At 40.8% G+C, this 24,871-nt stretch overlaps 3 long non-coding RNA genes across 3 annotated transcripts in view, besides 2 other annotated features; 1 reads left to right on the top strand and 2 right to left on the bottom strand.

Annotated features, from left to right (window-relative positions):
* LOC124901246 (uncharacterized) overlaps positions 1-16,779 on the bottom strand; it is a 35,700-nt gene extending 18,921 nt beyond the window's left edge. The window contains exons 1-2 of the long non-coding RNA XR_007059416.1: positions 15,914-16,779; positions 14,820-14,952 (exon numbers count right to left, since the gene is read on the bottom strand). This is a non-coding gene — a long non-coding RNA (uncharacterized LOC124901246). The remainder of the gene's footprint in view (positions 1-14,819; positions 14,953-15,913) is intronic.
* Positions 3,104-24,417, bottom strand: ECI2-DT (ECI2 divergent transcript). The gene is made up of 4 exons (NR_103764.1): positions 24,241-24,417; positions 23,087-23,128; positions 5,496-5,648; positions 3,104-5,008 (listed from the first exon to the last, which is right to left on the bottom strand). It is a non-coding gene; the product is annotated as an ECI2 divergent transcript (long non-coding RNA).
* Positions 18,687-20,155, top strand: LOC107986559 (uncharacterized). The gene is made up of 2 exons (XR_001743933.2): positions 18,687-18,795; positions 20,007-20,155. It is a non-coding gene; the product is annotated as an uncharacterized LOC107986559 (long non-coding RNA).
* Positions 24,359-24,568: a silencer, noted in NCBI's record as "silent region_16860". NCBI's record gives its function as "represses an Ori minimal core promoter by ATAC-STARR-seq in GM12878 lymphoblastoid cells {active_cell/tissue: GM12878}" and the evidence as "EXISTENCE:reporter gene assay evidence [ECO:0000049][PMID:35858748]".
* Positions 24,729-24,868: a silencer, noted in NCBI's record as "silent region_16859". NCBI's record gives its function as "represses an Ori minimal core promoter by ATAC-STARR-seq in GM12878 lymphoblastoid cells {active_cell/tissue: GM12878}" and the evidence as "EXISTENCE:reporter gene assay evidence [ECO:0000049][PMID:35858748]".

The raw sequence follows: 24,871 nt of genomic DNA, 5'->3' as shown, positions 1-24,871 counted from the left end.
TTTCTTAAAACATGCATCAAAGAAACATTGAAAAATATGAGATAATACCATGGAAAGAGGCTACAGACCCACAGTATGAGTCCGTTCTCACATTGCTGTAAAGACATACCCGAGCCTGGGTGATTTATGAAGAAAAGAGGTTTAATTGGCTCACAGTTCCACAGGCTGTACATGAAGCATGGCTGGGGAGGCCTCTGAAGACTTTCAATCATGGCGGAAGGCGAAGGGAAAGGAGGCCACGTCTTACATGGCGGGAGCAGGAGGAAGACAGCGAAAGCAGGAGGTGCTACATACTTTTAAACAACCAGATCTTGTGAGAACTCACTACCAAGAGAACTGCAAGAGGGAATTCTGCCCCCATGATCCAATCACCTCCCACCAGGCCCCTCTTCCAACATTAGGAATGACATTCCACGTGAGATTTGGGCGGGGACACAAATCCAAACCTTATCACCCAGGAAGTGTAAAGTGGCTTGCAAGTCCACTGGATGCAGAAGATGAGGCCTCTGAGGAAGTCCCGGTCAGCATCGCACAGCAGCCCAGAGCAACCGAGGGTACTCACAGAGGCACCAAAACAGACTGAGTTTGTTCAGTTTATGTTGTTTAAAGAAGAGAATGTCTATTTTCAAGATTTTCATTAAAATTGTTTTAAAATTTTATATGCCGTCTCTATAAATATAAATTTCCTTCTGTGATTTCTGTGAAGCTGCAATCTCTGGATTGTCTTCTATGTTTATTTTGAATGAGGGAATGCGACAAGCCTTTATCACGTGCCAATTATGAGGCAGGAATGGTGCTGGGCGCCAAAACCATCAAGACGTTCACAGCTCTCAGACACCAGCGATCAAATCAGAATCACGCTGTCAGTGCTTTGGTAGAAGCACCCAAAGGGACTTTGAGAGCAGAGGAGAGAGAATTCTCAGTCAGGCTGGGGCATCTGGAATCTTCCAGAAGCTGCATTGTGGAGGGTGAGAGGTGAGTTGATTTGGGGTTTTTTATTACAGCACAGAATCTGGCTCTGACGAACTCAGGCAAGATGGAACCACATTTGAAAGAATCTATGAAGACAGACTTGGCAAAGGCAGGAGTCACGGCAAATCAAGGGATCTGGCTAGCAAGGACTCACAGGTAACCCAGCTGGAGCTGCAGAGCTGACTGAATGAGCTCCTCGCACTTCATGTCTTTTTTTTATGTCACTTCGGTCACATTTCCAAATCCCAAGATGAGGATCCAGGGGCCTGGGCTGAATGACACCCCTTTCCTTTGGCCAGGAGAGGACAGAGGGTGTTACTGACACCCCCACAGTGTGGCACAGGATGGTGGAGAGAAATGTTCCCTGAAGAATAAGGAGAAAGAGACGCTGATAGTAAAATAAGAAATGATCAGTAAAGTGAAAATTAGTTAAGTGAGGAGGTAGGGAAGAACATTGCAATTTTATGGAAATACAGTTGCTTATATGATTGGAGCAAAAGCCTAGTGTCAGAGAGCCATAAGAGTTAGCAAGATGAGTAGGCAGGGGTTGACCTCAAAGAACTTCCCGGGCCAGGCCACAGTCTATACCCTCTCCTGACAGACTGGAGAACCACTGGGAGGTTTGAGGCAGGAAAGAGACATAATGAGATTTGCATTTTTAAAAGATCCCTGGCAGAGATGGAACTGGATGGGAGGAGGTTGAGCTACTGGAAGCCGCTTCAGGATCTAGGGGTACAAGGTGAGCTCTTTTTTGGACACGTTGAGTCTGGTCTGAGGTTTTTCTTTTTGAGATGGAGTCTTGCTCTGTCGCCCAGGCTGGAGTGCAGTGGTGCGATCTCGGCTCATTGCAACCTCCGCCTCCTGGGTTCACGGCCATTCTCCTGCCTCAGCCTCTGGAGTAGCTGGGACTACAGGCGCCCGCCACCACACCTGGCTAGTTTTTTGTATTTTTAGTGGAGACCGGGTTTCACCGTGTTAGCCAGGATGGTCTCGATCTCCCGACCTCGTGATCCGCCTGCCTCGGCCTCCCAAAGTGCTGGGATTACAGGTGTGAGCCACCGTGCCCAGTGAGTCTGAGGTTCTTATGAGGCTTCCCAGAGTCTTCATAATCCAAATCCTACCCACTCCCAATTATAAATAACAGCAAAAAATAATAAACAATATTATTCCCTCATTCATTTATTCATCAAGCACTTAGTGACCACCTATAATGTGCAGGTGTTGGGAACATAGCACATAACAATTTCTCTCTGTAAGGACTCACAATCCAGCGCAGATAAGTGAACACAGGAATACAGCACGATAATGTTCTGCTACAGAAAGAGACTGAAGTAAATTTCCTCTTTTGCTATGAGACTTAGGTGGAAAGAAAGAGTAGTGATGATTTTAAATATTATGGTAGTCCCGAAGTCATTCTCTTGCATCCCCAAAACTGACATACTCAACTCTTCAAATATCTTTAATTTTTACATTATGAAAACATAAAATTATCCAAAAAAATTCTTCCTCCACAATTCCTTTTAGTTTCCACTAAATAGTATATTTATATTCACACATGAAGATATATTACACTGCTGAACACCAAGTAACTGAGGAGAGGTTGCAAATAGCTGGAGTAAACAGCAAATTGATTAAACCATAAGTTGATAGAAAGTTCAGACGTTGCACAAACCGTGATCGCTCTCACGACCGACACCAGTGCAGCCCTGGGAGCACATCTTAAGTCAGCAATCTGGCAACTCCCCTGTGGCCACCTGTTCCCCTTGCTGTTCTCAGTCCCAGGCTCTGGACTTCATATTCACAGGCACACACACATCCCTGCAGACATCTGTTTTCAAGAAATGGTGGTGCCAAACTCCTCCTGGGAAATGTGCTGAGAAAATTCCTCTATCCGTGAGCTGTGAAGAGCAGAAAGCAAACGGGAGGGGAGGGCCCTTCCAGCTGCCCCGCTCTTGCCCGATGGATGGCTGCCGTCCACCTGACGGCACCCATTTCAATGACAGCCGCTAACATCTTCCAATGCTTCCCTGGTGTCTTGCTGTGACAGTTAATTTTGTGTGTTAATGTGGCTAGGCTGCATTGTCCAAACATTTGGTCAAATGCTATTCTGGATGTTTCTGGGGTTTTTTTTCAATGAGATTAATATTTAGATGAGTAGATGTTGAGTAAAGCAAATGACCCTTCATAATATGGGTGGACCTCATCCAATCAGTTGAAGGTCTTAATAGAACAGAGACCGACTTCACCTGAGCAGAAAGGAATTCTGCCAGCAGCCGGCCTTTGAACTCAACGTGCAACTCTTCCTTGAGTCTCCAATGTGCCAGCCCACTTCCATCTTGCAGATTTTGGACTTGCCAAGCCTCCAAGATTTTATGGGTCAGTTACTTAAATCTGTCTGTCTGTCCCTCTGTCTCTCTGCATCTCTCTATCTTGTTGGTTCTGTTTCTCTAGAGAACCCTGACTAATATACTTGGCTCATCTTCAGCTGTGTGTCCAGATGTTTTGCCCCCAAGACCTGTAGTCAGCCTCTAGGGCCTCAATCCCAGCACGGTTTCTGCACCTGCCGCGCCGTGGTGTGGAAGGAAAGGTGAGAAGAAGGTGGGCTGCAATGGCACAGCAGTGCTGGGCAGGAAACCTCACGCTCAGGCCTTATGTGAGCCTTTCTGCCCCTAATGCCCTCCTCAACCCGTCTATGAGAATGTGAGGCTTCCAATTGTGCTGCACTTAATTTGAAAGATTGGCAGAGCAAGACTGTACCAGAAAGTTCCCATTGAACCCTGGCCATCGACGCAGCCCCTATAAGGGGTCAAGAGCGTGCCAGCCCCTCGCCCCTCTGCATTCATCAGCATTGGTTGAGTACATGCTGTGACTGACCGGTGTTGGTACAATGGGCACAGAGATTAATAAGACACAGCCACTGCCCCCAGGGAGCCAGAATTTCATGTCCCTTTTCTTTTATTCTTCCACAAAACTGGAAACATCATCCAGACATGAGAATTTCAAGATTTTTAAAAAAAATCCTTTCAGAAACCACTTAAAGGGAAAACCTACTGATCACCAACTGAGGGCTGAATTTTGACAGCCCCTAACATCCAGGTGACTATACCCAGGGGCATAACGGAATTCAAGTGCTAAGGAACCACAGGCATTTTAAAGATAAATTTAGTGGCATTTTTAGGCACTGTTCTTAAGCCTGTCTGTTCTACTCCCTGAATTGGGGGCATAGCTTTTAGGTTCTTGAAAGTGAGGCTACATCCATTACAGGTCAGATTCTTAAAAAGGGATATGCATAAGAGTTTATAGAGTTTTAAAATATATATGTTTTTAAATTGTAGCCAAAATAGAGCACTCAGAGGTAATTACAGGCTTCCTTTAGAAGCAAACGTGGTTCAAAACTTCTTTCCCAGGAGGCTGTGTAGTTGTATTCACATTGTCGTCACTAGGTGGCAGCAGAGGGACTTCTGTGACTTTCAACCATTGGCTTTGGAAGGGATGGCGGAGGGGAGGCAGCTGACTCAGACTTCATTTTAGTGTAGGTGAGTGTGCGGCGTTTTCTCTGGGCAGCAACTATGTTAAACCACCATGGTACCTATTAATGTCAAATAAGTACCCCACAGTATAGAATTGATTTTAATACATCATTATCAGTATGTGGCCAACAGGGAAATTTGCTAGATCTCAGATGCACTTTGTCTCCATTGTGTGGCCTTTCCTTGGTGTTTTTGAATAGTAGAGATAATCTAGTTTTAAAGCTGGTACTTTTGTGAATGTGTACTTTCATACTCCATGTCTCAGGTACCCCTAGAGGACTCACTTAGAATATTAAGTGAATAATATAGAATAACCCCAGGAGTATTCACTTCTCTCTTCTCAGGCTGCCTTGGTGCAGACAAATATATTGTCCCCAACTTCCTGCCTTGTGCCCCAAGAAGTCTTACTAAAATGGTACATATGGAAACAGCAGAATGTGACTCTGTTCTCTGTGTCTGGAAATGAATGGATCAACCCCCAGTTAGGGATGCTGTAGAGATGTTTCCTGGATTGAGAAAGATAAATATTAAATTAAAAGGTGACCGAAGTTCCTTCTAATTCTAGGATTCCATTACTTATAAACATATGGCAATTACAATAAACTAGCGCTCCACAGTAACTCCCAATGAGCCCGCTTTGGGGATACCCTCCTTAAGACACGTTCAGATCATGCAGTAGCTACAGTTTATACCACTCAGCCTTGAGCTAGAGGAGCTGCTCCACCAGCCCCTTCCTCTGTTTTCTGCCCCTGCATGGGCCCTTCCTCCACGGCCTTTATCACTGCATGGTCTTACATTTACTCGGGTGCTTGTTGCATCAATGTCTACCTCCTATCCTTCACTGAAAGGTGCAAAGGACAGAGACTAGGTCTGTCTGTGCTCAGCACTGTATCCCCAATACTTCACAGAGTAGGAGCACAATTGTTGAATGAATGACTGCATGCCAGTCCCCCTTGGGACTATCACTTTTCAGAATGGAAACCATCTGCAGACCTGGGCATCTTCATGTCCATTTCTCAGTTTCTGAGCTGGTTCTGGCTTTCTGCAGCTCAACCTGGTGCTCACAGGAGAGCTTGAGAACTCTAGAGAAGCAGGTGATTGGCCCTCTGAGTAAGGTTCCTTCCAGCAAAGTTTACACCGTTTGACCTGCCAAAACAAAGACTTGACTTGAACTGTCCCATCACATTGTAATTCCAGGGTCTTGGGCTGCCCCTCCCATTCAGAAGAGAGTTCTTTATGTCTGCAATAGACCCACATCCCTCTCCATCTTTAACTAGAACCATCAGAACACTGCCACTTTTGTTCTGCTTCCAAAATTCCCAAAATGGGTGATTTTGCCCCCAAAGGACTCACATACCAGTGTAGCCCTAGTGGGAAGCAGGACGGAGGGCGTCTCCCAGGCATATCAGACAGCACAGGGGGAAAGGATGCCAACACATGTTAGGATATGACCTGATGTGACCTAATATGACCCTTGACAGGTTCTTACTTCACATGTTGGCTTTAGTTTCTTCGTCTGTAAAAACAGAAGGTTTGGTCAGATAGCATCTCAAGTCTCTTCCACTCCTGAAAATCTGTAATTATGCCTGGGTCATGTGGCTCAAGGGCAACTACCCCATCCCAGGTGAAGATATCCCATTTCTAGACACACTAGTTTGAAGCCTGCTTCAGTAGATATATTTCAATCCCCAAAGAAACTATAAAATGATAGGAGCTTTTCCCTAGATTTTCTAACCTTCTCCTTAACACATTATGGCTGAATCTCTTACAGATGTTTCCTGACAGATCATAGTGAAATTACCTCTCAAGAATGATAACAATCAAATGGAACTTTGTCATTTTTTAATTTAACATTCACTATTTGGAGTTTCCTCAAGGATTTCCAGAGGCCTACATGATTATGGCACAATGGGTAACTTTTCTGGGGCCCGATTTTAGTAGCAGATGCTACGCTGAGCCGCTTGGCCAATCGATGGGCCTGCCCACCTCCAGTCTCCACAGGGAGACGCAGCCCTGTTTTTCTCTGCTTCCCTTAGCATACTCAGCGACCATCATGAAGTGATAAAAGTTTCACTTCTTTAATGAAAACAGCACCCAAAGAGAGTCTAGTGTTTATGTTGGTGACGAACGTTGAAAGAAAGTGAATAGCTGTAAGAAAATGACAGTTCTTCCAGAAAGTGGAAGTTTTAGCTAATTATGGCATGGTAGTAGCTCTAGTCTTTTAAGGGAAAGAGAGTGTGTGGGAAATCCCTCAGTATTTTTTTTCTCTCCTTCTTCTCCACTCTCTGGTGCCCCAACCCTCAGGCAAGCCCACAGCAGGCTCGGTGCAGCAGCAAAAGAGGCCAGCAACAGGAATCTGCAGGAGCTACAGCTCTGAGGGAGAGAAACCTTGCTCTCAGTTCAGAAGAACCGCAGCTCCAAGAAGGTGCCACAAACACTGTTGCCTCTCTGTCTTCCTCTCTCTCTCTCTCACCCTCTCTCTCCCAGCACTGCTGTAAGGCAGTCACAGAAGTGGGTAGTTACTGGCTGGACAACCATAAAATAAAGCCTCAGGGAACCAGAGGTGCTAAGGAGAGAGCAGAGAGAGAAGAGTTTGGGAAAGCATACAGCATTATCCCCAGAGAAGTAAAAATAAATAAATAAATAAATAAATAAATAAAATAAGAGTGTCTGGGAAAGGAACTCCATAAAGAGGTTTATGAACTCCTGGCTAACCCCTGGCCTGAGCATGTCTAAATCTGATCCTAATTGGCATTCAAAAGACCTTGAGGACTGAGCTTAAGAGACAGGTCTCCCCAGGTTCCAGTCTGACCTTTTAGGTAAGGAGCACTCACGGGGGGCACCCAATTGGGAATGATCTGAGTAGCATTGAAAGGCTTTGAAAATTGAACTAACATTGGAATTGCAGCTCAGAGAAGGTGGGTTGAAATGTGAGGCCTGAACTTAACCAGGTCAAGTGCCCGCCAAAACAAAAATGTCAACATCTTCCATAGGATTTAAACAAGACCTGAAGTCTTATATATAATAATCAAAATGTTCAGGGTACACTCAAATAGTATTCAGCATATAAAGAACCATGAAAACCTCAACATGTATGGGAAAAGTCAATCAACAGATGCCAGTGCCATGATGACACCAATGTTGGAAGTATCTGACAAAGCTTTTAAAATGCTTGTATGAGCAATCTTGAACACTCTTGAAGAAAAAGCAAAAATACAAGGTATCATTAAAGAAATAGAAGATATACAGGACAAAAATCAGAAATTTTAGAGTTGAAAGCACAATAACCAATATTAAAAAAAAACAAACACATTAGCTGGGTTCAGTACCACAAAGGATGTGACAGAGGAAACAGTGAACTTGAAGATACATCAAAAAAAGAGGGAAAAAAGGTTGAAAAAAATCTAGTAGAGCTTCAGGTACATATAAGACAATAATAAAAGTTCTAATGTTTGTGTCTCTGGAGTTTTAGAGGACAAGAGAAAGAGTGCAGTGCTGAAAAAAAGTCTGAAAAAACAATGGCCGAAGACTTCCCAAGTTTGGCAAAGGATATAACCTACAGATTTAAAAAGCTGAGTGAACTTTTAAAAGGATAAATACAAATAAAATTATGCATAGATGCATCACAATGAAATTGTTGAAAAATAAAAAGAATGAAAAAAGTTTTAAAGCAGCCACAGAAAAACAGTGCATTGTCAATAGAGGATTTTCAATTTGAATAACTATAGATTTTTCATCAGAAACTGCGGAGACCAGAAGGAAGTAGAACAACATTTTAAAGGAGAGAAGGAAGGAAGGAAGGAGGGAAGGAACTATAAACTGAGAATTCTGTGAAATAAATACATTCTTAGATGAAGGAAAACTAAGAGAATTCTGACCAGTGTACCTACTTAAGAGATTTGCTAAACAAGTTCTTCAGGCTGAAAGGAAATGATCCAAGAAGAAATCTCAGAACTTCAGTAATAAAAGGGAACAACAGAAATGGCAAGTATCTGGGTAAATATAATAGACTGTTCTTCTCTTTTTGAGTACTTTAAAACATATCTGATGTTTGAAAGCACAGGGTATAACATTGTCTGATGGAGTTTTCAATGTGTGCAGATGTAATACATAAACGAGAAAGGAAACCTACTGGTAAGTTTTACACATTCCAATTAAAGTGGTAAAATGCTGATTATAAATTGCCATTAAAGTGTTAAGTTTGTATTTTTTTAAATCCCTAGAGCAACCACTAAAATTTTATATGAAAAGATATGGTTAAAATCAAAATAAATTCAGATGGAATGCTAAAAAAAAAAAAAAAAAAAAAGAAAGTTCAAATAATACAAAAGGCAGGAAAGAGAAGACAGACAGGAAGAAAACACAAATAATAAAATGGAAGACCTAAATTCAAACATATAATTACATTAAATGTAAATGGTCTAAACAGTATCTAGTTTTTACCTCAACTTTGATCTCCCTTTAAGGAATCCTAACTAAAAGATTTTGGAGACTTCCAGAAACCACTGGACCATACTTCTAGAATCACTGCATTTGAATTTTTATCATTTAAAAATAACTGAAAGTGTTGAAAATGGTTGGCTCTGGGGAGTTGGCATTGTGATGGCTTTAGGGAGAGGTCTGCAAAGGAACTAATTTTTTGTCTAATCTACACGATCTGACATAGACTGCAATACATAAGTTAATGTCTTTTACTACCATACAGTTTTCAACTATTTCTCTAGCATGGTGGTGGGCACCTGTAATCTCAGCTACTTGGGAGGCTGAGGCAGGAGAATCGCTTGAACCCATGAGGCGGAGGTTGCAATGAGCCAAGATCATGCCATTGCACTCCAGCCTGGGCAACAAGAGTGAAACGCCATCTTAAAAAAAAAAAAAAAAAGGAAGAAAGAAAAGAAAAAGAAAAACATCAAACTTCATCTGCACTATAGACCAAATGGATCTAATAGATATTTACAAAACATTTTATCAAACAGCTGCAGAATATACATTCTTTTTCTCAGCACATAGATCATTTTCAAGGATAGACCATATGTTAGGTCACAAAACAAGTTTTAAAACATTCAAAAAATTGAAATCATATCAAGCATCTTATCTGACCATGAATGAAAAAACTGGAAATTAATAACAAGAGGAATTTTGGAAACCATACAAAAACATGGAAATGCAACAATATGCTCCTGAATGATAATGGAAACACAACATACCAAAACCTACTGGATACAGCGAGAGCAGTATTAAGAGGGCAGTATATGGACATAAGTGTCTACATCAAAAAAGAGGAAAAACTTCAAATAATCTAATGATACATCTTGAAGAATTAGAAAATCAAGAGCAAACCAAATCCAAAATTAGTAGAAAAGAAGTAATAAAGATCAGAGTAGAAATAAAGAAAACAGTACAAAAGAGCAATGAAACAAAAAGTTGGGTTTTTAAAAAGTTAAACAAAATTGACAAACCTTTAGCCAGAGTAAGAAAAAAGAGAGAAGATGCAAATTAATAAAATCAGAAATGAAAAAGGAGATAATACAAATGATACTGCAGAAATTCAAAGGATCATTAGTAGCTACTGTGAGCAACTGTATGCCAGTAAATTGGAAAGCCTAGAAGAAATGGACAAACTCCTAGACACATGCAACCTACCAAGATTGAACCAGGAAGAAGTATAAAACATGAACAGACCAATAATAAGTAACAAGATTGAAGCCATAATAAAAAGTCTTCCAGTCAAGAAAAGCCTGGAACCCATGGCTTCACTGCTGAATTCTACCAAATATTTAAAGAACTAAGACCAATCTTACTCAAACTCTTCCAAAAATAGAGGAGCAGGGAATACTTCCAAACTCATTCTTTGAAGCCAGTATTGCCCTGATACCAAAACCAGACAAAGACACATCAGAAAAAAGAAAACTACAGGCCAATAGCTCTGATTAGTATTGATGCAAAAATTCTCAAAAAAAATACTACAAACGAAATTCAACAATACATTAGAAATATCATTCACCATGACCAAGTAAGATTTATCCCTGGGATGCAAAAATGGTCCAACATATGCAAATCAATGTGATACATCATATCAACAGAGTGAAAGATAAAAACAATAATCACTCCAATTGATGCTGAAAAAATATTTGATAAAATTCAATATCCCTTCGTGATAAAAAAAAAAACCTCCAAAAACTGGGTATAGAAGGAACATACCTCAACATAATAAAAGTCACATATGTCACACACATGGCTAGTGTCATTCTGAATGAGAGAAAAAATAAAAGCCTTTCCTCTAAGATCTGGAACATGACAAGGATGCCCACTTTCATCACTGTTATTCGACATAGTACTGGAAGTCCTAGTTAGACCAATCAGACAAGAGAAAGAAGAGGCGTGCAAACTGGAATGGAAGAAGTCAAATTATCCATGTTTGCAGGTGATATGATTTTGCATTTGGAAAATCCTAAAGACTACACACACAAAAAAACTATTAGAACTGATAAACAAATTCAACAAAGTTGCAGGATATAAAATCGACATACAAAAATCAGTACCATATCTATATCCCCACTATGAACAAAGTGAAAATTTTAAAAGTAATGCCATTTACAATAGCCACAAATAAAAGCAAATACCTAGGAATTAACAAAAGAAGTAAAAGATCTCTACAATAAAAATCATAAAACACTGATGAAAGAAACTGAAAAAGGCACCAAAAAATGACAAGATATTCCATGTTCATGGACTGGAAGAATCAATATTGTTAAAATGTCCATACTACCAAAGCCATCTACGGATCCCATGTAATGCCTATCAAAATACCAATAACATTCTTTACAGAAATAGAAAAAACAATCCTAAAATGTATATGGAACCACAAAAGCCAAAGTTATCCTGAGAAAAAAGAATAGCCAAAGCTATGCTGAGAAAAAAGAACAAAACTGGAGGAATCACATTACCTGACCTTAAATTATACTACAGAGCTATAGTAACCAAAACAGCACAGTACTGACACAAAAACAGAGACACAGACCAATGGAACAGAATAGAGACCCCAGAAACAAATCCACTCATCTACAGTGAGCTCATTTTTAATAAAATGGAGATCATTATGTTAGGTAAAATAAGCCATGCACAGAAAGACAAACACCGCATGTTCTCACTTATTTGTGGGAGCTAAAAATCAAAACAACTGAACTCATAGATATAGAGAGTAGAAGGATGGTTACCAGAGGCTGGGAAGGGTAGTAGGGGGCTGACAGGGAGGTGGGGATGGTTACTGGGTACAAAAAAAAAGTAGTTAGAAAGAATGAATAAGACCTACTATTGACAGCACAACAGAGTGACTATAGTCAACAATCACTTAACTGTACATTTTAAAATAACTAGGGGTATAACTGGATTGTTTATAGCATAAAGGGTAAATGCTTGAAGGGCTGAATACCCCATTCCCCATGATGTGATTATTTCACTTTGCATGCCTGTATCAAAATGTCTCATATACCCCATAAATATATACACCTACTATGCACCCAGAAAAATAAAAAATAATTAAAAAAAAAAGTATTGGATTGCCGGGCACAGTGACTCAGGCCTGTAATCCCAGTACTCTGGGAGGCCAAGATGGGCGAATCACGAGGTCAGGAGATCGAGACCATCCTGGCTAACATGGGAAAACCCAATGTCTACTAAAAATACAAAAAATTAGCCGGGCGTGGTAGCACACGCCTGTAGTCCCAGCTACTTGGGAGGCTGAGGCAGGAGAATCGCTTGAACTAGGGAGGCGGAGATTGCAGTGAGCTGAGATCATGCCACTGCACTCCAGCCTGGGTGACAGAGCGAGACTCCATCTCAAATAAATAAATAAATAAAAATAACGATTGGCAAGTTTGTGGAGAAATTAGACCTTTTGTGCACTGTTGGTAGGAATGGTGTAGCAACTAAGGAAAATATTATGGCAGGTCTTCAAAAAATTAAAAATAGAGTTACCATATAATTCAGCAACTCCACTTTTGAGTATATACCTCCCAAAATTGAAAACTAGGAGTCAGAGTTGTACACCTACATTCATAGCAGCATTTTTCACACTAGTCAAAATGTGGAAGCAACCCAAGTGTCCATCAGCAGATGAACAGATAAACAAAATGTGGTGTGTATATATTTACATATATATATATATATGTATATATAACCAAACATTACCTAGCCTTAAGAAGGATTGAAATTCCGACACATACTATGATATAAATGAACCTTGAAGACATGCTAAGTGAAATAAGCCAGTCACAAAAAGACAAATGCTGTATGATTCTACTTATATAAGATACCTAAAAAAGTCAAATTTATAGAAACAGGAATAGAATGGTTTAATATTGAGAAATATATTAGTTTTATGCAAGCCATCAGTAAAAAATAGAATTTTTTCATTAACACCAAGAAAGTATTCAATAAAATCCATCATCCATTCCTGTTGAAAACTGATCAAAAATTAGAACCAGAGTAACAATGCATTAATATGAAAAGGCTCTCTCTCCCAAACCAAAAACCAACATCACATTTAAAACCCTAGAGGATATCCTCTATAACCATTACTAATTTATATTTTGGAAATTGTAGCCAACACAAAAATATATGAAACAAATAATAGTTATATTTATAGTAAGAAAAAGAAAGTATATATCATTGTGTGTAGGCAGTATTTCTAGTGATCTAAAAGCATATTCTACAGTTTACAGAGAACCCTTCTTTCTCTTCATCTTCACTCCTCCCACCTTGATTCAAGTTCACCTTCTACCTGAACATTTATCACCTTTAATTACTCTTTCTTGCCTTAATCCATTTTACAATATTGCAGCCATTTTGGACTTTTAAAGACATCTTTCTGCAGACAGTTATCCAGGTGACCTTGAATCAACCCAGTTCTTCTCCCTTTCTCATTTGTAGTTTTCAAGAATAAGTATAAAATGTGCTGGGAATGCAGTGTCCTGAGATAGGCAGAGGCTGGTCACAACAGCCTGGGCTTTATTCCATTTCCCTCCAGAAACAGGATGTCCTTCGGTGCTTTGGCCCAGGGGACCCCCCAGGACCCCGGAGTGTAAAACATAGAGTGGGTTGCTTTCTGGGATCCCTCACCTGCAGTGCAAGAGGATGTACAGACAAGACTCCATCTGCCCAGGGCAGCTTTCCTGAGCCTTGAGGGACCAGCTTACAATGGACCTTAGGCTTCCGTTGTTCCTGGCTACGTTTCTGTGAGTAATAAACCCACTTCATGTAACCTGATGTGCGGGTGGGTGATAAGTTGATAACCAGTGTATAGTGAATCTGCTCACACTTTCCACTTTAAATTCCCAGTAACTTCTTTGTTCTTAGAATGAAATCTAAACTCTGAACACACCCATAAGGTTTTAAATGAGCTGGCCATTTTCTATATAATATTTAATACCTGAAATTATTTTATGCATTTGTCCACCTATTACTTTTGCCTTCCTCCACTGGAATGTGAACTCCACAGAAGCAAAGCATTTATGTATCTCGTTCACCCCCATCTCCTTAGTGCCCAAGACAGGCCTAGCACATAGTAACCACTCAATAAGCACCTCTTGGAGACATAAAAGAATGAATTTCAATTCTGAGCATTGATAACTTATGAAATAAAGTAAAAATTTTTCTAGGAAGGTTTCATGGGGAAAGGTTTTATCACAGCAATCAACAGCCAAAAATTTCAATGTGAAATTAATGACAAGAAATGAAATTACCCAGAATGCAATGGAATATTTTAAAATGGGTTTGAGATCAGCAATTGGTACTCAATATGAGTTTCTGAAAGTATGACAGCAACAGAAAAGTTCATCTTAGCTTCTGAAAGTTAATAAAGCTGAGTACAAAGTTTAAGAGATTACTGCCTAGAAATCCACAATTAATCAAATTAACTCCAACTACATTAAATAGATTTGTGGCCTTAGGCATATCTGCCATTACTTTATTTAAGTTAGCAAGGAATTTATTGCTTTTCAGTATGCAGGGTCAGTCACAGAAAAGCTGAAACATCCATGGATCATCTCATGTTTTCACCCTATTTCTTTTGAACGAATAAGTAGATGTTGTCAATTTGCCACTTCTATAGTTTGGATATGGTTTGTTTGGCCCCTCCAAATCTCAGGTTGAAATGTGATCCTCAGTGTTAAAGGGGGGGCCTAATGGGAGGTGTATGGATCATGGGGGCAGACTCTTCACGAAGAGATGGAGGATGGGGGTAGTAGGTATCAGTGAGTTCTTACTCTATTAGCTCCCAAGATAACTGGACGTTAAAAAGAGCCTGGCACCTCCTACCTCTCTCTCTTGATTTCCCTCTTGGAAGTGATCTCTGCACAAGTCAGCTCCCCTTTCCCTTCCACCAGGAATGGAAGCAGCCTGAGCTGCTCACCAGAAGCAGATGCTGGTGCCATGCTTCTTCTTGTATAGCCTGCAGAACGATAAGCCAAATAAACCTCTTTTCTTTATAAACTACCAGCTACATGTATTCTTTTATAGCAAAAAAACAGACTGCAACACCAGCCTTGCTAAATGCTGCCAATACCTTAATGAAGTAGGTGATCACAGCAGATAAATGGCAGATCATTTTATATAATCATGTTATATTATTTGTCTTAATCTCACGTGATTAATAGCAGCAGTAATATATTAATTCCATCTGGCCTGTGTACCTGTGGAGTCACTGTAAGGCATGTAATTAGATTTATAAGGGCTGTCTGCAATTATAATTTGGCTTAAAACATTTGGAGGTATGAAATGTGCACTACATTTCTGCTCCATGAAATTCCACAGATGCTTTAGAATGAAAACAGTTGATTCAAGAGAATAATCACATTGTATTATGATAATAAAGTGTTACATTGGCTGGATTGAACCCGCAATTTTTCTGCAATTTTTCTATCAATGAATGCACTTACTACAATTTAATTCAGCTTGCCTAGCATGATCAAAGATACTGTTGGGGGAGAGGAATCAGCAAGGATCCTAGCCTAGCTGGAAACTCAAGACATGACTTTGACATGATATTGTCAATTGCAGGCCACAGCAGTGAGGGTGAGGAAGTCCAATGGACAAGTGGAGTCCCAAAGCAGGTGCACTGGGGGCATAAAAAACCAAGGGGTCAAGTGCAAGAGACCAAATGCATGGGGTCAATAATTTAAACCAGTCATTATGACCTTCCTCTATGAGGTGAATGTAAGCACTTCCAAATTTAAAAGAAAGACATGAGTAGTCAGCAGAGAAAGAGAAACTATTTTAAAAAGCCAAATAGAAATTTGAGAATTGAAAAATAGAATACCTGAAATTTAAAAATGCACTAAGTGGGTTCAATAGCAGAATTGAGAGAGAATAATGTCAGTGAATTTAAAGATAGATCAGTAAAAATTACCTACCTGTAAAACAAAGAGAAAAAGGATTAAAAGTAGGTAAATAGCCACGGAACCTGTGGGACAATCTCAATATCACTGGAGTCCCTGAACAAGAGATGAAAGATATCAGGACAGACAAAATATTTGACAAAACAATGAACAAAAATTCCTCAAATATCGCAAAAGACATAAATTCATAGATTCAAGAAGTCTAGAAAAACCAAACAAAATAAACTCAAAGAAAACCATGCTAACACACATCAAAATTAAACTGCCAAAAACCAAAGATAAATATCTAGAAAGCAGCCATAGCAAAACGATATATTTTGCATAGGAGAGCAACAACTCAAATACTGCAGATACTAGTGAATGCTAATGATTCCTCATCAGAAACCATAAAGGCAGGGGAGCAAAATCCTTAAAGTGCTGAAAGAAAAAAAAAATGTCAACTCAGAATTCTATATGCAGTGGAAATATCCTTCAGGAATGAATGTAAAATAAGGATATTCTCACATGAAGAAAAACAAAGAGAATTCATTGCCAATATATCTAAGAAAAATTCCTAAAGGAAGCTAATGTGGAAGAAAAATGTTCCTAGAAGAAAACTTGAAACTTCAGGAATGAATAAAAAACCGTAGAAATGATAAATACCTAGTTATATAATACTTTTCGTTTTTAAGTTATTGAAACTATGTATGAAGTTTGAATGCAAAAATTGTAACACTGTTTGGGAGGGTGTCAATGTATCCAAATGTAATACAGACGACAACTATAACATAAAGAGAGAGAGTAAAGAAACCTGTATGGTTGCCAGTCTTCAACATTTTACTTGAAGTTGTTAAATATTAAATCCAGATAAACTAACAGTATGTGTATATATATACACACATATACATGTATATGTGTGTATATATATACTATCATAATATTATATACATATATTCTTTGGAACAACCACTGGAAAAATATATAAAGAGATTGATATGGTTTGGCTCTGTGTCCCCACCCAAATCTCATGTTGAACTGTAATACCCATGTGTTGAAGATGGGGCCTAGTGGCAGGTGATTGGATCACGGGGGCAGATGTTTACCTTGCTGTTCTTGTGATAGTGAATTAGTTCTTATGAGATCTGGTTGTTTAAAAGTGTGTAGTGCTTCCCCCTTCATTCTCTCTCTCCTGTTCTGCCATGTGAAGATGTGCCAACTTCTCCTTAACCTTCTGCCATAACTGTAAGTTTCCCGAGGCCTACCCAGCCATGTTTCCTCTACAACCTGCAGAACCATGAGTCAAGTAAACCTCTTTTCTTTATAAATTCCCCAGTCCCAGGTAGATTGTTGGTTTGGGGTTTTTGTTGTTGTTTTGTTTTGTTTTGTTTTACAGAGTCTTGCTCTGTCTCCCAGGCTGGAATGCAGTGCCACAATCTCAGCTCAACCTCTGCCTTCTGGGCCCAAGCAATCCTCCACCTCAGTATCCTGAGTAGCTGGGAGTACAGGCATGTGCCACCAAGTCTAGCTAATTTTTTTGTATTTTTTGTAGAGATGGGATTTCACCACATTGCCCAGGCTGGTCTCAAACTCCTGAGCTCAAGCGATCCACCTGCCTCAGCCTCCCACAGTGCTGGGATTACAGTTCAGGTAGTTCTTTATAGCAGTGTGAGAATGGACTAATACAGACATAAAGCCAAAACAAAACAAACAAACAAACAAACAAATCATCCTAATGGATAAGTTAAAATGGAATACTAAAAATAATTCGAAGATGGTAAGGAGGGAGAAGAGAAAAGCAAAAACAAACAGAAAAATAACAAAATAGGAGGTCTACATCTAATTATATCAATAATCACATCAAATGTAAATGGTCTAAATATATCATTTAAAAAACAAAGATTGTCAGATTGGATTTTTAAAAAAACAAACAACTATATGTTGTCTACAAGAAACCCACTTTAAATATAATGATACACATATATTAAAAGTCAAAGAATAAAAACAGATAAACCATGCAAACACTAATCAAAAGAAAGCTGTGTTGTCTACATTAATATAAAAAATAGACTTCATATAAAGGAAAATTACTTACCAGGGATAAAAAGGGACAGTACAAAATAATAAAGGTCAATTCATCAAGAAGACATACAGTCATCAGTTTGTATCCACCTAACAACAGAACTCCAAAATGCATGAAGCAAAAACTGATTGAACTGAATAGAGAAATAGTCACATTTACAATTACATATGGCGACATCAACATTCCTCTCTCAGTAATTTATGGAACAAGGAGACACAAAGTCAGTAAGTGACAATGAATGATAGGATGCATATTCTTTTGACAACACATGGAATGTTCACCGCGATAGGCCACATACTACTGGATATAAAACTAACAAATGTAAAAGAATTGAATTCATACAAAGAATGTTCTTGGAGTACAGTGGAATTAAACTAGAGATAAGAGAAAGATCACGAAAAATCCCCAAATACAGCGGGACACAGTGGCTCATGCCTGTAATCCCAGCACTTTGGGAGGCCAAGGTGGGAGGATCATGAGATTAGGAGTTTGAGACCAGCCTGGCTAACACAGTGAAACCCTGTCTCTACTAAAAATACAAAAAATTAGCTAGGCATGGTGGTGGGCGCCTGTAGTCCCAGCTACTTGGGAGGCTGAGGTAGGAGAATGCCTTGAACCCAGGAGGAGGAGGCTGTGGTGAGCTGAGATCGCACCACTGCACTCCAGCCTGGGGCCAGTGTGAGATTCTGTCTCATTAAAAAAAAAAAAAAAAAAAAAAATCCCCAAATACTTAGAAATATCTTACCTTTCTCTCCCTTCAGGAAGGACACCTGAGGCACATGCTCTTCACTGGCACCCAGGCTACTATAGTAGAATTGAGTGTCAGTTGTCCACAGAGGTAACTTGCTTAATGATTTTACCCTTTATTGCCTGCCTTTCCTTGTCTCTTTTAATTCTCTACTCCTACACCAAGGTTTCCTGGAATCATTCCCCAAATAAACTCCTCTCTTGGGGTCTGCTTCTGGGAGACTCTAACCTAAGACAGCTGCATATACAGTTAATTCTCATTATTCATGATAATTAGATTTTCTAAAGTCATAGCAAACACTGAATAAGTCAATAGTGAACCATTGTTTCTAGAGGTAATCCAGGATTAGGTTCCTTTGAGTCTCTGGTTACATTTTCATCATAAGCTTATCCGATGTGTTTCTATGGAAAGACACATCATTTAAAGTACATATATATGTATATAGTTGATTCAATAATACTGAATTTGCTAACAGCATTATAAACTCAGGCCTGAAGGAAGTCTAGCTCACATTTTCTCCATGAGGCACATCACAGCCTTATTGCTTTTACACTAGATAGCAATTCAGCATTATGCTTGCAGGCCATTTTAAACAGCAAATCACCAAAAAAAGCACAAAAATATGAAAATATGTAGCATTAAGTAAACCCCATAAGGACATTTATTTACAGTATGACAGTTGAAATAAGAAGGCAGAAGGTCACCTTGTTTGACCTCAGCTGTGAATATGTGCTTCGGGCAAATCAAATTTTCCAACACTCCAGACATGTTGCAAATGCCCCATGAGTATTGATTTAAAGTTTACAAATAGGCCGGGTGCAGTGGCTCACACCTGTAATTTCAGCACTTTGGGAGGCCAAGGCAGGTGGATCACCTGACGTCAGGAATTCAAGACCAGCCTGGCCAACATGGTGAAACCCTGTCTTTACTAAAAATGCAAAAAAATTAGACAGGCATGGTGGTGCATGCCTGTAGTGTCAACTACTCTGGAGGCTGAGGCTAGAGAATCACTTGAACCCTGAAGCTAGAGAATCACTTGAACCCAGGAGGTGGAGGCTACAGTGAGCTGAGATCATGCCACCGCACTCCAGCCTGGGAGAGAGAGCAAGACTCCATCTCAAAAAAATAAATAAATAAATAAATAAATAAAAATAAAGTTTACAAATAAATTTTAGCAAGTAGGCAAACTCTCAAATACACAAACTACGAAAAATAAGGATTGACTATGTTTTTCTAATCTTATTTAAAGTCAAGCTGCTGATTTATGGATGGAATTTTAAATTTACTTCTTTCTTGTGCAGAACAGAGAAGGCAGGAGCACCTTTGCTGAGTCAATAAGGATACCACCTGCCTACGAACCACGGATGCCATTCTTGAACATTCTTCTCAGCCCTTAAATGCATGTAAATTATATGACATTGTGTTGAATACATATAATTGTCTTTGTGGCTCTCTGTGGTTAACTAAATTGTAGGTATTGTTCTTGTTCTTATGTATTCATTAGGACAGGTAAATTAATTTAAGCTGTGGTGTAAACAAGAAAAAATGGAATGACTTCAGAAAAGCAGCCATTTCTTACACAGTGTATCTATCAGTTCCAATCATTTTCAGAGGGAGAGTCCTCCAAAAATAATTTTTTTTTTTTTTTTTTGCTACAGAAGGATAGTTGAAAAGTATCCTCAAATACAAGGTCAGGTTAATGCTTGTGCAACATACAGAAAGAGTGGATAAAAGAGCCTTGGATGAATGAACAAATCACGCAGGTGTAAAGCACTTAGACAGAGGTGATAACATGAGCCAAATGTTTACTTTTGAAATGACTTTCTTCTCTAAATTATAACGATGGGAAATAAGAAAAACACCCCAAAGCAGGTAATATTCCAGCATACTATTTTTAATATCTCTGACATATAAGATTGTGTAGGAAGGCAATACAAAGCCTAGCTAGGAAGAAGAAAAGAGGATTAATTTTGTAAAGGAGACATAATAATGCCACAGGTTTAATTTATCTCAAGCAATGTCATCCAGCTAAAGCAGGAAACAATTATGATACAGAACGTTGAACGTGGACTAATCATTTTAATGACTAATGGAAAAAGCTATAATAGATTTTTCACCCAGAAATTTATAGAGTTAAGTAACACCACAGTTGCCTTCGTACCACTCTCCCCAGTTCATTTCGGCACAGGAACTTGGCAACAGTCAAAGTCCTCTGCCTTTAGCTACCACTCACTGAAAAAGCAACATTTCAAACCACAAAAACACTCATGTTAACACCTTCTGACAACTTAATGAAAAGGTAGCAACTGACTCACAACTTATTATCAAATGTGGAAAAGCACGCTCTAGAAGGAAACTTTCAACAGCTCATCCATCATCCAACAAACCTTCACAGAGTACAGTATTTTCTGTCAAGCAGTGTGTCCAGAAATGAGAAAGGGGTTGAATACAGGGTAGAATTCTTCCCAGGATATGCCCCTTGTAATAAAATAGATTACTAATCAGATATAAAACACAGTGACATAGGGGCCAGAAGAAAGAAACGCCCAGGAGACTGTAGGAACTCAGGACAGGACTAACCAGTGGGTGGGTCAGAGGAGATTCCTGGATATGCCAATGCCTGGAATGAGAGAACCTGGAAACTCAGAGAAACTGAGCATCCCAAGTTCACCTGAAATGGGAAGTTAACATGTGGGGCTGGAAAGAGGTGCCTGAGAAGGTAGGCAAGGGCAAATCTTGTGGGCCTTATTTGCCAGTGCTAAGCAGCTTGGGTTTGTTTAACAGGCAAAGGGGACTCACTAAGAGATTTTCAGCCAAGGGGAGAGATCGGGGAGAATCGTGTGGAGTGTAAGATTTAAAATTTAGGGAGACCAGCCTGGAAGCAGGGAGAGAATGGATTGCAGAGGTAACTGAATTAGCAAAACTGGGAAGTGGCTGCTACAGGAATCCAGGTAACAGTAATCTCAAAATCAATGAGAGCATGAATTAAGACGATGCAGAGGGATGTGAGATGAGGGGGAAAATTAAAAAAATATATTTAGGAGACAGAATCACTAGTATTTGATGAATGATAGATGTGAGGTGTCAGTGAGGTAAGGGAATCAAAGACTCTTCCAGGTTTCTAGCTTGCACTGTTAATTGGGACAGTGTATCAGAATTGTTCCTCAAGACTGAATGTGACAGACTCTGTACATGCTGTAACAACAGTATCTGATGATGTAAATATTGGAAATAAAAATTATCATGACTGACAGAGTCATCATGTAACATTCTACTCTGATATAATCTATTCTATGATCTTAAAAAAGAAACATTCACACTACCACTGAGCACAACACTGTGAAGTCGATATGCTGACCCCAAAGATTCATTATAGCCGGAGACAACACTTCCTGTGCACCTGCTAAGAGAGTCTGAGATTCTCTCAACCCAAAGAACATCAACGGCCCTCCCAGGCAGCATCAGTCCCCTGCAATCAATAAGACAGGATCTAACCAGACTGGAGGACCCCCTCCCCAAGATTTTCATAAGCTCCAGGGGAAGCTGGTTATATAACAGGGTGAAGATTAGAGCTTTAGAGAGGTCTTGACTGAGTTTCTGCCTTTCCTACTCTTATCCAGAACCATTACACCCTGAAGATATATCTGGAGTCCAGGATTTCACTGAGAACTGGATAGCTGGGCATGCCAATTGTATCTTCAATGGCTCTCTGCTTGCTCTCAGCACGGAATCCAAACTCCTTAGCACAGATACAATGATCTTCAAGCTCAGGTGGAGAATCTACCAAAATCACAATGGTTCCCTTTTGCTGCAACTGGCCCTCCCACCCACAGGGCCATGGCAGCCATGTTTACAAGGCATGGTCTGGACACCTCTTAACAGTTTAGTAAACCAAATACGGACCCAAGATGACCCTCTTTAGGATCTAGGAATCTAAATGTCTGTCTCTTTAACCAGGAATGTCTGTCTCTTTAACCATCTCCTTTCTCTCAAATGCTGGATATAATGGGGCTTTAGTAAATGACAGCTGGTAGATATGCAAATGATTTCTCCAATAGGAAAAACATTCCTCCCGAGGTTATGGTTTTATTGCTCTATGGGATATTAACCAGTTTTGTTTCTAACTTTGCAATCTATTCCAGCATTCTTTTTTTAACATTGACTATATTAAACTAGTCTTTTAACTTCTTCTTTAGCACCCTGTTGGTTCCCTAATTAATGAGCTAAGTAAATCTTTGACACATGCTCTTTCTATATTTTTAAAATTATAGTTTGAAAAAGATAAGCTAATTTCCCACACCCCACTCTTTTCTGTGGTAGGTATAAGCCTGAGAGTAGTTTGCTTGCATTGCAAAAGGTTTCACTATCAAAATATGCTTACCAGTATGAGATTTAAAAAATATTTCCATGACAGCTGTTTCATCTTCTGGAAATGAATGAGTCTTGTATTATCTGCAATATCTGATTACTGCATTTCCATTACCTCTGAGGTTATCTAACAGCCTTGGAGAGAGTCAAGGTCTCTGAGAGAGGCAGCTCAGCCTACCAACTACCACTTTGTAATATATGGAGAGGCCAGGTGTGGTGGCTCACACCTGTAATCCCAACACTGGGAGGCCGAAGCGGGTGGATCACCTGAAATCAGGAGTTTGAGACCAGTCTGACCAACAAGGTGAAACCCCATCTCTACTAAATACAAAAAATTAGCCGGGCCTGGTGGCGCATGCTTGTAATCCCAGCTACTCGGGAGCCCGAGACAGGAGAATCACTTGAACCCAGGAGGTGGAGGTTGCAGTGAGCCGAGATTGTGCCAGTGCACTCCAGCCTACGCAACAAGACGGAAACTCCATCTCAAAAAAAAAAAAATCTCTTTGGGATAAGCCCAAATTGTTCTATTTGACTTTTGGTGTTGCCCCATCTACACTATTACCCAGATCTACCTGATGAAACTTAATGATAAAGTTACTTGAGACTTGGACTCTGCCCACCTGCAAGCCTCCTGTCTTTGGGGAATTCACCTGATTAATCTTTCTGGGTCTCAGTTTCCACATCAGCTCAACAGGGCAATATGCTCAACAGGGCAATTTCCACATCAGCTCAACAGGGCAATATCATTTTCCTTACAGGGTTGTCCAAAGACTTACAATTAGCCTGGCTCACTATAGGTAGTCCACAGGTGTCAGCTACATAAATCTAAAACTCCTAGGCATGCTTGGATGGGACAACTTGGGCACAGAATTTAGAGGGGTGGTTTTGTTTCGTTTTGTTCTGTTTTGTTTTTTGGTTCTCTGGGAACTGGACAAGGTGACACAGCCAAGGCCCTTCCAACTCTTAAGAATTCTTCCCCAAAGAAAATACTTTGCAAATGCCTCAGCAGAACTCAAAAATATCCACAAACTCTTCACTGACACTAAAAACTTGGGTACTCCAAAAATCACTTCTGACCCCCAGGCGTCCTACCAGGTCTGCAAACCTTCGATTTGGGGATGCATGACCTAGCAGCTTTTAAGCATACGCCCTCAATTGTTACCCCACCTCCCGGCTCAGGGCTGGCCCTCGGGATGCAGCGACCCCTCCTCGCCAGGCTCCGCGGGACTCCGGGCAGGGCGCTCAGTGCTCCGGCAGCCACAGGGTTCGCAGAGCTGAGGTCCGCCCGAGAGAGCAGCCGCGCCTCCAGCTCGCAGTTACTCGGAGCCAGGCCGGGGAGCATCTGTGCCCCGCCCCACGCGCCGCGCAAGTCCTCCCGGGATCACCCTCCCCGCGCCGCGAACCCCCCGCACTTCCTCCACTCCCGGGTGATACCCGGCCTCGCTCCGGCCCCGCCCCCGCATCTGAGCCCCGACTCCTAACCGCCTAGAGCTCCCGCCCCGCCCACGCACCGACCCCCCCGGCCCCACCCCCGAGCCCCCGCAGCCCCAGAGGAGGCCACGGGCTAGCGATGGCGAATGCGGCGTGGCTACGCTCTCAGCCTGGCCCCGCCCCAACCCTGGCCCCGCCCATGCCCCAGGCTCCTGCCTGGGCTCTGCTCTCGGCCCCGCCCCGCACCCAAGCCCCGGCCCCACCCCCGAGCCCCCGCAGCCCGGGAGCCTAGGCCCCGCCCCCGAGTCCCGGCTCCACCCCCGAGACCCGGCCCCACCCCCGAGCCCCCGCAGACCGAGCTAGGCCC

The sequence above is a fragment of the Homo sapiens genome, chromosome 6, assembly GCF_000001405.40.
Source record: "Homo sapiens chromosome 6, GRCh38.p14 Primary Assembly".
Taxonomy (NCBI): domain Eukaryota; kingdom Metazoa; phylum Chordata; class Mammalia; order Primates; family Hominidae; genus Homo; species Homo sapiens.
The sequence above is the reverse complement of the archived record's forward strand: the minus strand, read 5'-3'. Positions and strand labels throughout refer to the sequence as shown.